This window comes from Homo sapiens, chromosome 8 (assembly GCF_000001405.40).
Source record: "Homo sapiens chromosome 8, GRCh38.p14 Primary Assembly".
Lineage (NCBI taxonomy): Eukaryota > Metazoa > Chordata > Mammalia > Primates > Hominidae > Homo > Homo sapiens.
Genome location: NC_000008.11, coordinates 124,291,576 through 124,305,494, shown reverse-complemented (window position 1 = coordinate 124,305,494; position 13,919 = coordinate 124,291,576). Strand labels below are relative to the sequence as shown.

At 37.3% G+C, this 13,919-nt stretch overlaps 1 pseudogene; it reads right to left on the bottom strand.

The window, feature by feature from the left end:
- Positions 1 to 3,685: 3,685 nt before the first annotated feature.
- LOC112268031 (transcription factor SOX-2-like) lies at positions 3,686 to 12,123 on the bottom strand (annotated as a pseudogene).
- Between the last annotated feature and the right edge of the window lie 1,796 nt (positions 12,124 to 13,919).

The following is a 13,919-nucleotide window of genomic DNA, read 5'->3' as shown; positions in this document are numbered from 1 at the left end:
TACTGTCTCATATATATATAAATATAAAAAATATATATATATATATAAATGATGACACACATGCACACGCACACACACACACACTACATTTTCTTTATCCAGCTTCAGTTGATGGTCACTTAAGTCAATTCCCTATCTTTGCCATTGTGAATAGTGCTCCAATAGACATAAAAGTGTAGGTCTCTTTTTGATATAATGATTTCTTTTCCTTTGGGTATATACCCATTGGTGGGATTGCTGGATCAGACGGTAGTTCTGTTTTTTTTCCCCAAGTAACTTTTGTTTGTGAAGGTTTATATTGACTATATCAGAAATGAAAACTGACAAATTTAAAAAAATATTTACCAATCTTTTAAAATAAACCAATTTCATGCTAACAACATATTTTATGATAATTATTTTTCAAAAATAATTTAGTGAGAAGAGCAGCATTGTTAATACACGTTTTGCAAATCTTTTCAATGTCTGGCTTAATAGAAGACAGCTGGATTATCATACCTGTTTCTCCATTCAGTCTGTTTGATATGTTGTTTTGTTTGAGGTAAATGAAGAAATTCATCCTCATGGAGGTATTAAGTTGTAAAAGGGAGGAATATTTTAATAGCCTAGGCTGTAGATTTATTCTTGGACACTGTACCAATACTGAACAAGGGGTAGTATCTAAAAGGTTATTTGCAACATAGAATCTGAAGCCACATAAATGAGATTTTGCATTGAATTTCATTAGACTCCAGTGGTCTACCTTGCACTTTGAGTGAAACTTTTTCCCATGAATAATTTTGTGAAATCATGCATTTGGCACATGGAAACTATTGATTCACTGAGTTACGCACATCTTCCAAATGTTAATATTTTGCCATATAAAATGTTTAAAAATCATGTTTAATATGACCAGCAATCTCATTTTAAAAAGCCTCTTTAATACTGAGAGGCCATCAAATTCAGATGGCAGATACACATTTTCCAAAATAATTTTCACTTGAAAGCTTAAAATTTATCATTGGCAACAAATACTGTTAGTTTTTCTTGAAGTGACAGTTCACTTTGTTCATGTTTGAGGAAATGTCTGTCAAATACCCACATCTGAATTGCCTCGAGACTCACTACTCAAAACAACCTCACTAGTGCTTTTCCTCAAGACAACCATCATATTTTGGTATCCTCAGAAGTACTTCACATACAGTTCTCATTTTTTCATACAGAAAATTTAAAAGACTTAAGAGTAAAGATTTAAAATAAGTAATTTTTACTGCTTTATTAAGGACATTGAAGGAAACCACCCCTCCCCCACAACCCCGACTTACATGTGCATGGCAATGAAGAATACAATGACTACTAGTGCCTCATTTCAAAGATGCTGGTGCTTTTACCCACCATTGTTTTTGCGCCATTGGTGAATGTGTCACCATAGTTAAAAAGACATATAATGTCATAGTATATTTTGAAAATGTTTTGATTTCACAAACTCCCTAAAAAATTCAGAAGTCCGCAGACCATACCAACACACTTTGAGAACTGCTGTCCTGAACTTTCCTAATTTTATGAGGCTTAGTTGCAAGTAACAAAACCCCAAAATAACAGTCACTGAAATAAGATAGAAATGAATCTCCTATGGAAAATTACTGTGGCATGTTGTTCAGGGCTGGTATAAGGGTTATGCTCTGGAAAGTGGTGGTCAGAGGTCCAGCTTTTCGTCCTTCTGCTTCATCATGTACAGCTGTCATTCTCAACGTTACTTCATGATCTAAAATGGCTGCTTCAGTCCCAGCCATCTTATCTACATTCTGCCCAGGGGAGAAGAAACTAAAAAGAGATAAAAAGGCCTTGCGCCAACATTTTTTGTATTTCAAAAATTTATCTCAAACTGTGTATAATGGAGTAAAGACATAAGTTGAAAATGTACCTGTTACAAGGATGATATTAGTTCAAATATATACATGGATTCTCGGCAGACTGATTGAAATACTACAGAGCCGAATCTTTTAAAATACAACTACGGAAAACAAAGGGGGAAAACCTTAAAATACCACAATAAATTTACAGAAATATTACAAACCATAGGAAAATATTTCGAACACAGTAACTTCATTTTTTTAATCTGAACAAAATGGAAAGTTGGGATTGAACAAAAGCTATTATAAATTACCAACCATGTAAGTTTTGCACTTTTGCCCTTTTAAACAAGACCACAGAGATGGTTTGCCAGTACTTATTTTAGTTTTTTCCTTTCTTACAATTTTTTGTCCAAATTTCAATAATTTTCTTCTTTCCACGTTTGCAATTGTGCTAAATTTCAGCTGCAGCATCAAAATGCAGCAAGAAGCTTCTCGTTGAAAAATACTGGCAAATTCTCAGCTTGTAAACAGTAGACATTTTGATTGCCATGTTTATCTCGATAAATACTGTACAAAAGTTGCTTGCAAATATTAGAATATTTTTTCATCGCCTGGAGACTAGCTCTAAATATTATTGGTAAAGACCTGCAAACTTCCTGCAAAGCTCCTACCGTACCACTAGAACTTTTTAAAAGTTTTTTGTAGCTTGCTTTCTTCCAAATCTGCACAAGATCCATTCCTCCACCCTCCCCACCCCCCTGTTTTTCTCTGTACAAAAATAGTCCCCCAAAAGGAAGTTCAGGATCTCTCTCATAGAAGTTTTCTTGTCGGCATCGCGGTTTTTGCGTGAGTGTGAATGGGATTGGTGTTCTCTTTGGCAGCTGCCATTTGCTGTGGGTGATGGGATATATATATATAAATATATAAAAGAATATATATTTATATATAAATATATAAAAGAATATATATTTATATATAAATATATAAAAGAATATATATTTATATATAAATATATAAAAGAATATATATTTATATATAAATATATAAAAGAATATATATTTATATATAAATAAAAGAATATATATTTATATATAAATATATAAAAGAATATATATTTATATATAAATATATAAAAGAATATATATTTATATAAATATATAAAAGAATATATATTTATATATAAGTATATAAAAGAATATATAAATATATAAAAGAATATATATAAAAGAATATATATTTATATATATAAAAGAATATATATTTATATATAAATATATATAAAAGAATATATATATATATATAAAAGAATATATATATAAATATATAAAATATATATAAATATATAAAAGAATATATATTTATATTTATAAATATATATAAAAGAATATATATTTATAAATATATATAAAAGATTATTTATAAATATATATAAAAGAATATATATTTATAAATATATATAAAAGAATATATAGTTATATATATAAATATATATAAAAGAATATATATTTATATATATAAAAGAATATATATATAAATATATATAAAAGAATATATATATAAAAGAATATATATATAAATATATATAAAAGAATATATATTTATATATAAATATATATAAAAGAATATATATTTATATATAAATATATATAAAAGAATATATATAAATATATGTAAAAGAATATATATTTATATATATAAATATATATATAAGATAAAATATATATATATTTTTCCATTTTGAACGTATTGGGTTTTTTCCATGCTGTTTCCTACTCTCCTCTTTTGCACCCCTCCCATTTCCTTCGTTTTTCTTCGAAAATTTCTTCCCCCTCCAGTTCGCTGTCCGGCCCTCACATGTGCGAGAGGGGCAGTGTGTCGTTAATGGCCGTGGCGGGCACCGGGCTGCTCCTGTAGTGCTGGGACATGTGAAGTTGGCTGGGGCGGCGTGTTCCGGCACCTCGGCGCGGGTAAGGTACGTGCTGATCAGGTCCCGGAGGTCCCCGGCCTGGCAGGGCGCCCTGGAGTGGGAGGAAGAGGTAACCACAGCGGGGCTGGAGTAGGGTGCCCTACTGCGAGTAGGACGTGCTGTAGGTGGGCGAGCAGTTCTCGCAGGTCTGCGAACTGGTCATGGAGTTGTACTGCAGGGCGCCCACGTCATAGCGGTGTATGGGCTGCATCTGCGCGGCACCGTTGGCGTGGAGGCCCGGGTGCTGTGCGTAGCCCAGCTGGTCCTGCATCATGCTGTAGCTGCCATTGCTCCAGCCGTTCAGGTGCTTGTAACTGTCCATGCGCTGGTTCACGCCCACGCCCAGACCGGCGCCCACCCCGACCCTGTTGAGCCAACTTTTAAGTTGCCACATGACACATCTTGTCCATCAGACCTATATCACATGATCACACTGAGCTGAAAGAGAAACTTTAAATGTCTTCATTCTGTATGTCCAGTTGTATACCAAAAACTGGAAGAAGGGAAGGACATCTTGGGGGACAACTGGCTCTCTTATGACAATCCACCGCTTTGAATACCAAGTTTTCATGCCTCATTTTTTTTTCCCCAGTGTGGAAGATACCCATCCACAAGAGAGTGGGCTCAAAGTGACTGCATTTACTTCTAAATGTGCCATACTCTCTATAAGGTCTTAAATTAGCTCCTTGTTATACTTCATAAATGAAAAGAGTATCTTCCCCTACGTACCCAGAGTGTAGTAACAATTTCAATTCAGAAAGGGAAAGAGGCCGGGCGTGGTGGCTCACGCCTGTAATCCCAGCACTTTGGGAGGCCGAGGCGGGCGGATCACGAGGTCAGGAGATCGAGACCATCCTGGCTAACACGGTGAAACCCCGTCTCTACTAAAAATACAAAAAATTAGCCGGGCGAGGTGGCGGGCGCCTGTAGTCCCAGCTACTCGGGAGGCTGAGGCAGGAGAATGGCGTGAACCCCAGGGGGCGGAGCCTGCAGTGAGCCGGGATTGCGCCACTGCACTCCAGCCTGGGCGACAGCGAGACTCCGTCTCAACAAAAAAAAAAAAAAAAGAAAGGGAAAGAATGGGCAACACAACTCTCACTAGTTCCTACCAGTTATCAAATCCACCGCCACTATCCCCCAGCAGAAAAGCGGGATAAAATACGGGACTCATCTATTTGAAGGCAGTAGAAATCTGTCCAAGCAGGACTCTAAAAAGGAGTGAACATTTCTGAGGTGAGCTGACCTGTGGCTGCTTTTAGTTTGGGGGCACTTGTCCATTCTGGTTGCAGACCGGAGGCTGGTAATTTTGATTTTGTATTTTTTTAAAGCTTGCCTCCAGAGGACAGCAACCAAGAAAGCTTTTGGTAGAGATATGGAACAGCCTTAAACATGGGCAATTTCCACTCAGAAAATTTGCAAAGTTGTGGTGCTGTTTAGGAGAGAAAACAAAAGTAGGCAGAAAGCTTCATAAAACAAAGATTAAAAATCAGGACTTGCCAGAAGGAGGGGATCTGGAGAATATCCTAGGTGACCATTAGAAAACTCTGAGGCTAGGGGCACGTCAAATGTAGAATGAGCCTTATGCCAAGATTTGTAACTCTGCCTTGATTTATCATGATTCTTGGTTGGATTAAGTTCTAGCAGAAGACAGGTTGCCTCACTGAAGAAAGACATCACCCAAAGCCAGTAACATTAAAACATCTGGAAACCAATGGAAAATTACAAGAAATGCCAAAACCACATGGACCACGTGACCAAAAACTAAGAGAAAAAAAAGTGACATGAGAAACCAAGCCACAGACAATTCACATATTGGAGTTCACTGGCAAGAACTCTAAGATAACTATGACTAATGTGTTTGAGACAATTATGGATAAGATAATAGGCAAAGACTTTGATCAGAAAAGTAATCTATAAAAATCAAATGGATATTCTAGAACTGAATACAGTGTCTGGAGTTGAGAACACAGTAGGTGGATGTAATAGTGGATTTGTGTAACAAAAGACAAGATTAGTGAACTACAAGACAGGTCAGTAGAAAAAAATACATACTGAAGCATGTATTGGAGGCATGTAAACACAATGAAAAGCCTTTAGAAAGATAATTGGAGTCTTGGAATAGAATGGGGCCAAAGTAACATTTGACCAAGCTCAGAAAACTAAAGCAGGACAAAGAAAAATAGAATCACACTTAGGCACATCAAAGTAAACCAACTAAAAAGTAAAGACAGAAAACATCTTAAAGACAGCCATCTCCCACAGAAACAATGGAAACCAAAAAGACTAGAATAATACTTTTAAAGTGCTTACAGAAAGTAGCTGCTGATCTAGAAATTCATACCCTGCAAAAAATATCCTTCAAAAATGAAGGTGAAATGGGGCTGGGTGCAGTGGCTCACGCCTGTAATCCCAGCACCATGCCCGGCTAATTCTTTTGATTTTTAGTAGAAATGAGGTCTCACTGTGTTGCCCAGGTTGGTCTTGAATTCCTGAGCAAAAAAGATTCTCCTGCCTCAGCGTCCCAAATTGCTGAGATGACAGCTGTGAGCCACTGTGCCCATTTTGTTTTTGGTTTGTTTGTTTTTTAATTTGGCTCTTTTAGTTGATTTTCATGGGAGCATTGATCTAGAGCAAGTTAGTACATCAGTAGTTTCCAACCTCGAGATGATTGTGTCCCCTCCCCAGGGGACCTTTGGCAATATCTGGAGACATTTTTGACTGTCATAGATTGGGGTCAGTGAGGATACTACTGGCATCTAGTGAGTCAAGACTAGGGATGCTGGTTAACATCTGTAACAGGATAGCCCTCTGTAACAAAGAATTATCTTTCCCCAAATGTCATTAGTATCAAGATTGAGACATCCTGCATTATAAAGTTTTGATTTTAGTATTTTTTTAAAAAGCTCTCTGATTTCAGATATTTTTCTGATTTTACATTTAAAAGACCTTAAATGGCACACAAACGGTATAAATTCAAGTTGATGAACATTGAGTTCAATGTGAGTTAACTGAAGAGAATAGCCATTGGATTCTTATGTCACCCCTATTTATCTCTCTAGAGATATATGGAGGATAACTTGGTGGACAAAATACAGTTAGAAGCTGAGAATATTGGTCTCAATTTCAGCTGAGAATTTGAGATGAAACATGTATGCTTGGAAGTCATTTATACACAGCTGTTAGTTGAAGCTATTGTAATGTATAAGTCTTCTCATTTGTAAAGCACAAGAGAGCAGGGCCAAGGACAGAACTCTTAAGGGCAGGGGAAGGAGGGAAGACCATTGGTGTTTAAGGACTCCATTCCTCCATATGATCAACTCAATAGATGCAAAAAATAAATTGACAAAATGTAACACAATAATCAAACATCCATACATGATAGAAACTTCCAGCAAACTAGAACTAGAAACGAACGTTCACATCCTAATAAAGTGCATCTGTGAAAACTTACAGCAAGCATCATACTTAAAGTGAAAGACTGAAATGCTTTCTCTCTAAGATCAGAAACAAGGTGAGGGTGTATGCTCTTACCACTTCTAGCCAGTGTAATAAGGCTAAATAAATAAATGAGTAATATCCAGATTAGAAAGGAAGAGATGTCTTAATTTGCAGATGACACAATTATCTATGTAGAAAATCCTAATTAATCTACCAAAAAGCTACCAGTACCAATACATGTTTCTCAAGGTGGCAGAATATAAGATCAATTTGCCAAAATCAGTTGTATTTTTATATAGAAGCAGTGAGCAATCAGAAATTGCAATTTAAAAATAATGTAAAAAATAATAAATATTTAAGGATAACCTGCCAAAAGACATGTGAGACCTGTTCGCTGAAAACTAGTAAACACTGCTGGGATAAATAAAATCTAAATAAATAGACATATTGTATTTATATATTAGAAGATTCAACATTGTTAAGATATAATTTATTCTCAAATTCAACTATATATATTCAATACGATTTCAATAGAAATCCTAGCAGGCTTTTAAAAGAAATTACCAAATTTATATGAAAATGTAAAGAACCTAGAATAGCCAAAACAATACTGAAAAAAGAGCTAAATGGAGGATTTACACTATCTGATTTCAAGATCTATTAAAAAGCTACAGTAATCACAGTATAAAGAAAGGTAAACAGAGACAAATGGAACAAAATTTGTCCAGAAATAGACCTACAGAATTGATTTTCAACAAAGGTGCCAGGGCAATTCAATGGGAAAATGATAATATTAACAATAAATGGTGATGGAGCAAATGGATATCCATATAAACAAATAGTGAAAACAAAGAACAATAACAAAAAACAAATGAACTTCAATCCTTATTTCACACCAGCATTCAAAAAGTACTTCAAGATAAATCATAGTCCTAAATATAAGAGGTAACGTATAAAACTTCTTGAAGAAAACGTAGGAGAAAATCTCAGTGACCTTGGCTTGGCACGTGTTTCTTAAACTGGACACAAAAAGCAAGAATTATTAAAGAAAAATAAAATGGATATCATCAAAATAAAAAATGTTTGCCTTTCCAAAGATACCGTTATGAAAATGAAAATATAAACTACAAAATGGGAAAAATAGTTGGAAAACATATATCCAAGAAGGGACTTCTACCTAGAATACATAAAACTCCAATAATAACAACAAATAATTATAATAATAAATGTAATAATATAAAAAGTATACAGATGATTTGAAAAGTCACTTAAATAAGATATATGAATGGCAAATTAGTATATGAAAATATGCTCAACATAAATAGTAATGAAAATATGAATTAAAACCATACCCACTAGAATGGCTAAAACTGAATAGCTAAAATTGAAAAAACCGATACCAAGAATTGACAAAGATTTGGGACAACTGGAACGTATACTGATGGTAGGGGATGTAAAATGGTACAACCACTTTGGAAAACAGGTTACCAGTTTCATAAAAAGTTAAACATACACTTATGACTGAGCCATTCCACTTCAAGGTATTTATGCAAGGTATATTTCATAATACCTTGAAATGAAAAGAATGTATATGTCCACACGAAGACTTGTGCACTAAAGTTCATAGCAACTTTATTGCCCCCTAATAGACTACAAAACCTAAATGTCCATCAACAGGAATATGGATAAACAAATCATGGTCTATCTATACAACATAATACAAGTTAGCAGTAGAAATAAACTGTTGATACACACACAACTTGGATGGATCTAAAACTAATTCTGCTGACAGAAACCAGACAAAAAGAGTACACATTGTATGGTTCCATGTATATAAAATTCTAGAAAATGCAAACTAGTCTATAGTGATAGAAAACATATCTGGTTGTCTCAGGATGGTGAAAGGGCAAGGAGGGCATAAAGGCAGGGATTATAAAGGGGCCATAAGGAAAGTCTTGGGGGTGAGGAATGCATTTATTATCTTTTTTTTTTTTTTTTTTTGAGATGGAGTCTTGCTCTGTTGCCCAGGCTGGAGTACAGTGGTCTGATCTCGGCTCACTGCAACCTCCACCTCCTGGGTTCTAGCAATTCTCCTGCCTCAGCCTCCTGAGTAGCTGGGACTACAGGCGTGCACCACCATGCCTGGCTAATTTTTTGTATTTTAGTAGAGACAGGGTTTCACTGTGTTGCCCAGGCTGATCTCGAACTCCTGAGCTCAGCCAATCCACCTGCCTTGGCCTCCCAAACTGCTAGGATTACAGGCATGAGCCACTGTGTCTGGCCTCCCCGCATTTATTATCTTGATTGTGATAACAGGTTCACAGGTGTTTACCTATGCCAGAACTTGCCAAATTTTAGCAGTTTAAATTTTTGCAATTAAACCATATAAAAAATACCCCTAAAAAAGAAAAAAATGGGAAAACATTAAAAATCGTTACTGCTATAAGATCACCACGCATCCTCTGGGTAGGAAATAATTTCTAACTCTTCTTTATCCCCAAATCACTTTTTACTTTCATTATAGTACTTATCAGATGTCTCAGTTATCCATTATCCCAAAACTTAGTGGCTGAAAACAGTAATTTGCTATTTCTCACATTTTTGGGGTCAGCTGGGCAATTTCTCTGCTGGTCTAGCCTGAGCTCACTCAGGGGGCTGCAGCCAGCTGGTGAGTTCGCAGAAGCTGGAGGGTTTAACATGGCTTTGGCATAGATGGCTTGAAGGCGGCGACTCTCACTACATGGTCTTTCATCATTTTGTAGTCTAACTGAATATTTTTTTTCAGTGTCCATAAATCAAGTTTTATTGGAATACAGCCACATCCATTTATTTACTTTTTTAGTGAGATATGATTGTCAGACAAATAAAGCTATATATATTCAACGTATACATCTTGATGCATTGGAGGATAAGTATACACCTGTGAAACCATCACCATATTCAGTGCCCTAAACTTAACCATCACCTCTTAGGGGACTCCTGTATTAGGGTCCTCTGTAGGGGCAAAACTTACAGGATATATGTATATATGAAAGGAAGTTTATTAAGGAGAATTGACTCACATGATCACAAGGTGAAGTCCCACGATAGGCCATTTTGCAAATTGAGGACGAAGGAAGCCAGCAGTGGCAGTCTGAGTCCCAAAACCTCAAAAGTAGGGAAGCTGACAGTGCAGCCTCCAGTCTGTGGCTGAAGGCCCGAGAGGCCCTGGCAAACCACTGTTGTAAGTCCAAGAATCCAAAGGCTGAGGAACTTGGAGTCTGATGTTCAGGGGCAGGAAGCATCCAGCATGGGAGAGAGATGAAGACTGGAAGACTCAGCAAGTCAGCTTGCTCCACCTTCTTCTGCCTGCTTTTTCTAGCTGCACTGGCAGCCAATTGGATGGTGCCCACTCACATTGTGGGTGGGTCTTCCTGAGGGTGGGTCTTCCCCTCCCAGTCCACTAACTCAAATGTTAGTCTGTTCTGGCAACACCCAGCAACAACCAGATACACCCAGAAACAATACTTTGCATCCTTCAACCCAATCAAGATGACAATGTTAACCATCACACCTTGTACACTATTGGTGGGAATGTAAATTGGTACAGTCACTATGGAAAACAGTATGGTAGTTCCTCAAAAGATTAAAAATAGAACTACCAAATCATCCAACAAACCTGCTACTGGGTATATACCCAAAAAAAATTGAAATCAGGATTTCAAAGAGATGTCTGCATTCTCGTGTTCATTGTCCCATTATTCACAATAGCAAAGACATAGAAAGAACCTAAATGTCCAGATGAATGGATAAAGAAAATGTACATACAATGAAATACTATTTAGCTTTAAACGAGATGAGAATCCTGCCATTTGCTACGTCATGGATGAATGTGGAAGACATGCTAAATGAAATAAGCCAGGCCAAGTGCGGTGGCTCATGCCTGTAATCCCAGCACTTCGGGAGGCCGAGGCAGGATCACTTGAGGTCAGGAGTTCGAGACCAGCCTGGCCAACATGGTGAAGCCCCGCCTTTACTAAAAATACAAAAAAGTAGCTGGGCATGGTGGCGGGTGCCTGAAATCCCAGTTACTTGGGAGGCTGAGGCAGGAGAATTGCTTGAACCCGGGAGGCAGAGGTTGCAGTGAGCCGAGATTGCACCACTGCACTCCAGCCTGGGCAACAGAGTGAGACTCTGTCTCCAAAGTGGGGGAAATAAAAGTCAAACACGGAAGAACTACTCAATTATTCCATTTAGGAATCTAAAATAATCAAACTCGTAGAAGCAGAAGCAGAGACTTGAATGGTGATTACCAAGGTTTGGGGGAGGGTGAATCAGAGAGATGTTGATCCAAGGGTACATAGTTTCACTTATGCAAGGTGAATAAATCCTAGAGATCTACTGTACAACATCGTGCATATAGTTAACAACACTGTATTGTGTACTTAACTGAATCTTCATGTGGCAGTCGGGTACCTAATGAATAAATGCAGAAGCCATGAGGTCTCATGGGTTGCCCGGGTCCTAGATATTGCACTGTCACTCCTGCCACCTTTGACCCTTTATCAAAACAAGTTTTAAAAAACAGCCCAAATTCAAGGGGATGGAGAAATTGATGCCACCTTTCTGATGTGAGAAATGACTATGCCATATTGTAAAGGGACATGGACACGGAGATCATTAATATAATGATTTGCCCTTCCAGGTTATGCCTTATAGGCATTTTTGGTACCTGTATCCCTTCTATTAAATCATAAGTTCCTTGAAGGCAGAAATTAGATCTTATTTACCTTTGTATTTCCCTTTGCAACGATCACAGATGTTGCACGCTATGCAATAAGTGTTGAATTTTTCCGGATGACAAGACAAGTAAAAGGTAAGGGCAAAAAAAAAAAAAAAAACAAAACAAAACAGGGTTGAAGACGAAGACGCATCGTTGTAGAGGTAGGGGAGAAAAGATATATTCCAAATAATTTAAAATCATGATCTCCAAAGCAGGCAAAAGCAAAGGGCAAATATTGATGAGCCATCAGAGTATCTTTTTTTTTTTTTTGAGATGTAGTCTCACTCTGTTGCCCAGGCTGGAGTGCAGTGGCGTGCTCTTGGCTCACTGCAACCTCCGCCTCCCGGGTTCAAGCGATTCTCCTGCCTCAGCCTCCCAGGTATCTGGGACTACAGGCACACACCACCGTGCCCAGCTAATTTTGTATTTTTAGTAGAGATGGGGTTTCAACATGTTGGCCAGGCTGGTCTCAAACTCCTGACCTCAAGTGATTTGCCCGCCTCTGCCTCCCAAAGTGCTGGGATTACAGGCGTGAGCCACTGCGCCCAGCCCAGAATATCTTAATAATAACATTTTTATAGCCAAATAGGTAAAGGCAACAGATAAGAAGAGTTGAGTAGCTGCTTAAGTAGCTAGAGCTTTATTTAAATACAGCTCTTTTGATTCCAAATTTTAGGCTTTTTTTCCCCTTCTTCAAATTTTGCAACTCTGGGGTGGTATTATGTTAGGCAATTGAAGGGAGGGGTGGATAATTTAGGGGTTTTAAATTCACAGAGTAAACATTCTGGTGGTTGGTACCATGCTTTTAGTATTTATATTTCCCAGTGTATGAAATAAAAGATTTTAGAGGGACAATGCTGAAGATGCCTAAAATAAACTTTCCTTATTTATTTCTAGGCCTTTCTAAGCAGTTAGATTCCAAGAGACAAAGTATGTTGTAGAGCTGTTCTGTTTAGTCTTTTCCTGAAATTGCAGCCAGTGTTTTGCCTATCTGCTATTAACACATTACCCTTTGCCTGCCATCTCATATTTGGCATATTTTATAAACAGGCTGAAAGCTCTAAGCTGAATCCTGGCTATATCAGGTTTTGTAATTATATCTTCCTGCAATATTCTTCCCACTCAGACAGCTAATAAATAGTTTAACTGACTGAGATTCAGCCTTTCTCTTTGTCTCTGCAAAATTTAGAAATTCAAAATGCAATTCAAAATAAGTATTTTCTTCATGTACTTTCCCCATGATGTATTTGGTGTCCAACAATGAACCAAATTATGAGGAAGGTGAGTCAACAGAATCATGAGATCCAATTCTTTCTCTTGAGACTCTTATGGTATCGGAGAGATTTGCAGTCTATTTATTTTTTATTTTATTTATTTATTTATTTTTTGGAATAAGATCTCGCTCTTGTCACCAAGGCTGGAGTGTAGTGACACGATCACTGCCACCTCCGCTTCCTGGGTTCAAGCGATTCTCCTGAATCAGCCTCCCCGGTAGCTGGGATTACAGGCGACTGCCACCACGCCTGCTAATTTTTTGTATTTTTAGTAGAAACAGGGTTTCACCATGTTGGCCAGGCTGGTTTTGAACTCCTCACCTCAAGTGGTCCGTCTGCCTCAGCCTCCCAAAGTGCTGGGATTGCAGGCATGAGCCACCGCCCGGCCAGATTTGCAGTCTTTTGGGTATTCTGCAAGCTCCAGGATTCTGGGATTCTGAGTGACCCACAAAGTTCACAGTGTTGCTGCCAAGTTCTAGTAAAGCATTATGTTATACTTTTTTGTTTTTACATAATTCAACGTATTGGGCAATAAGTCACTTTGCTAGTATTCATATTAGTTAATCTTTACTCTGCAGTAAGACTTAATGTAAATGCAACCTTTTAAAATAAAAACGTTGAATTATTCCAGTTGAGGAAAAGTG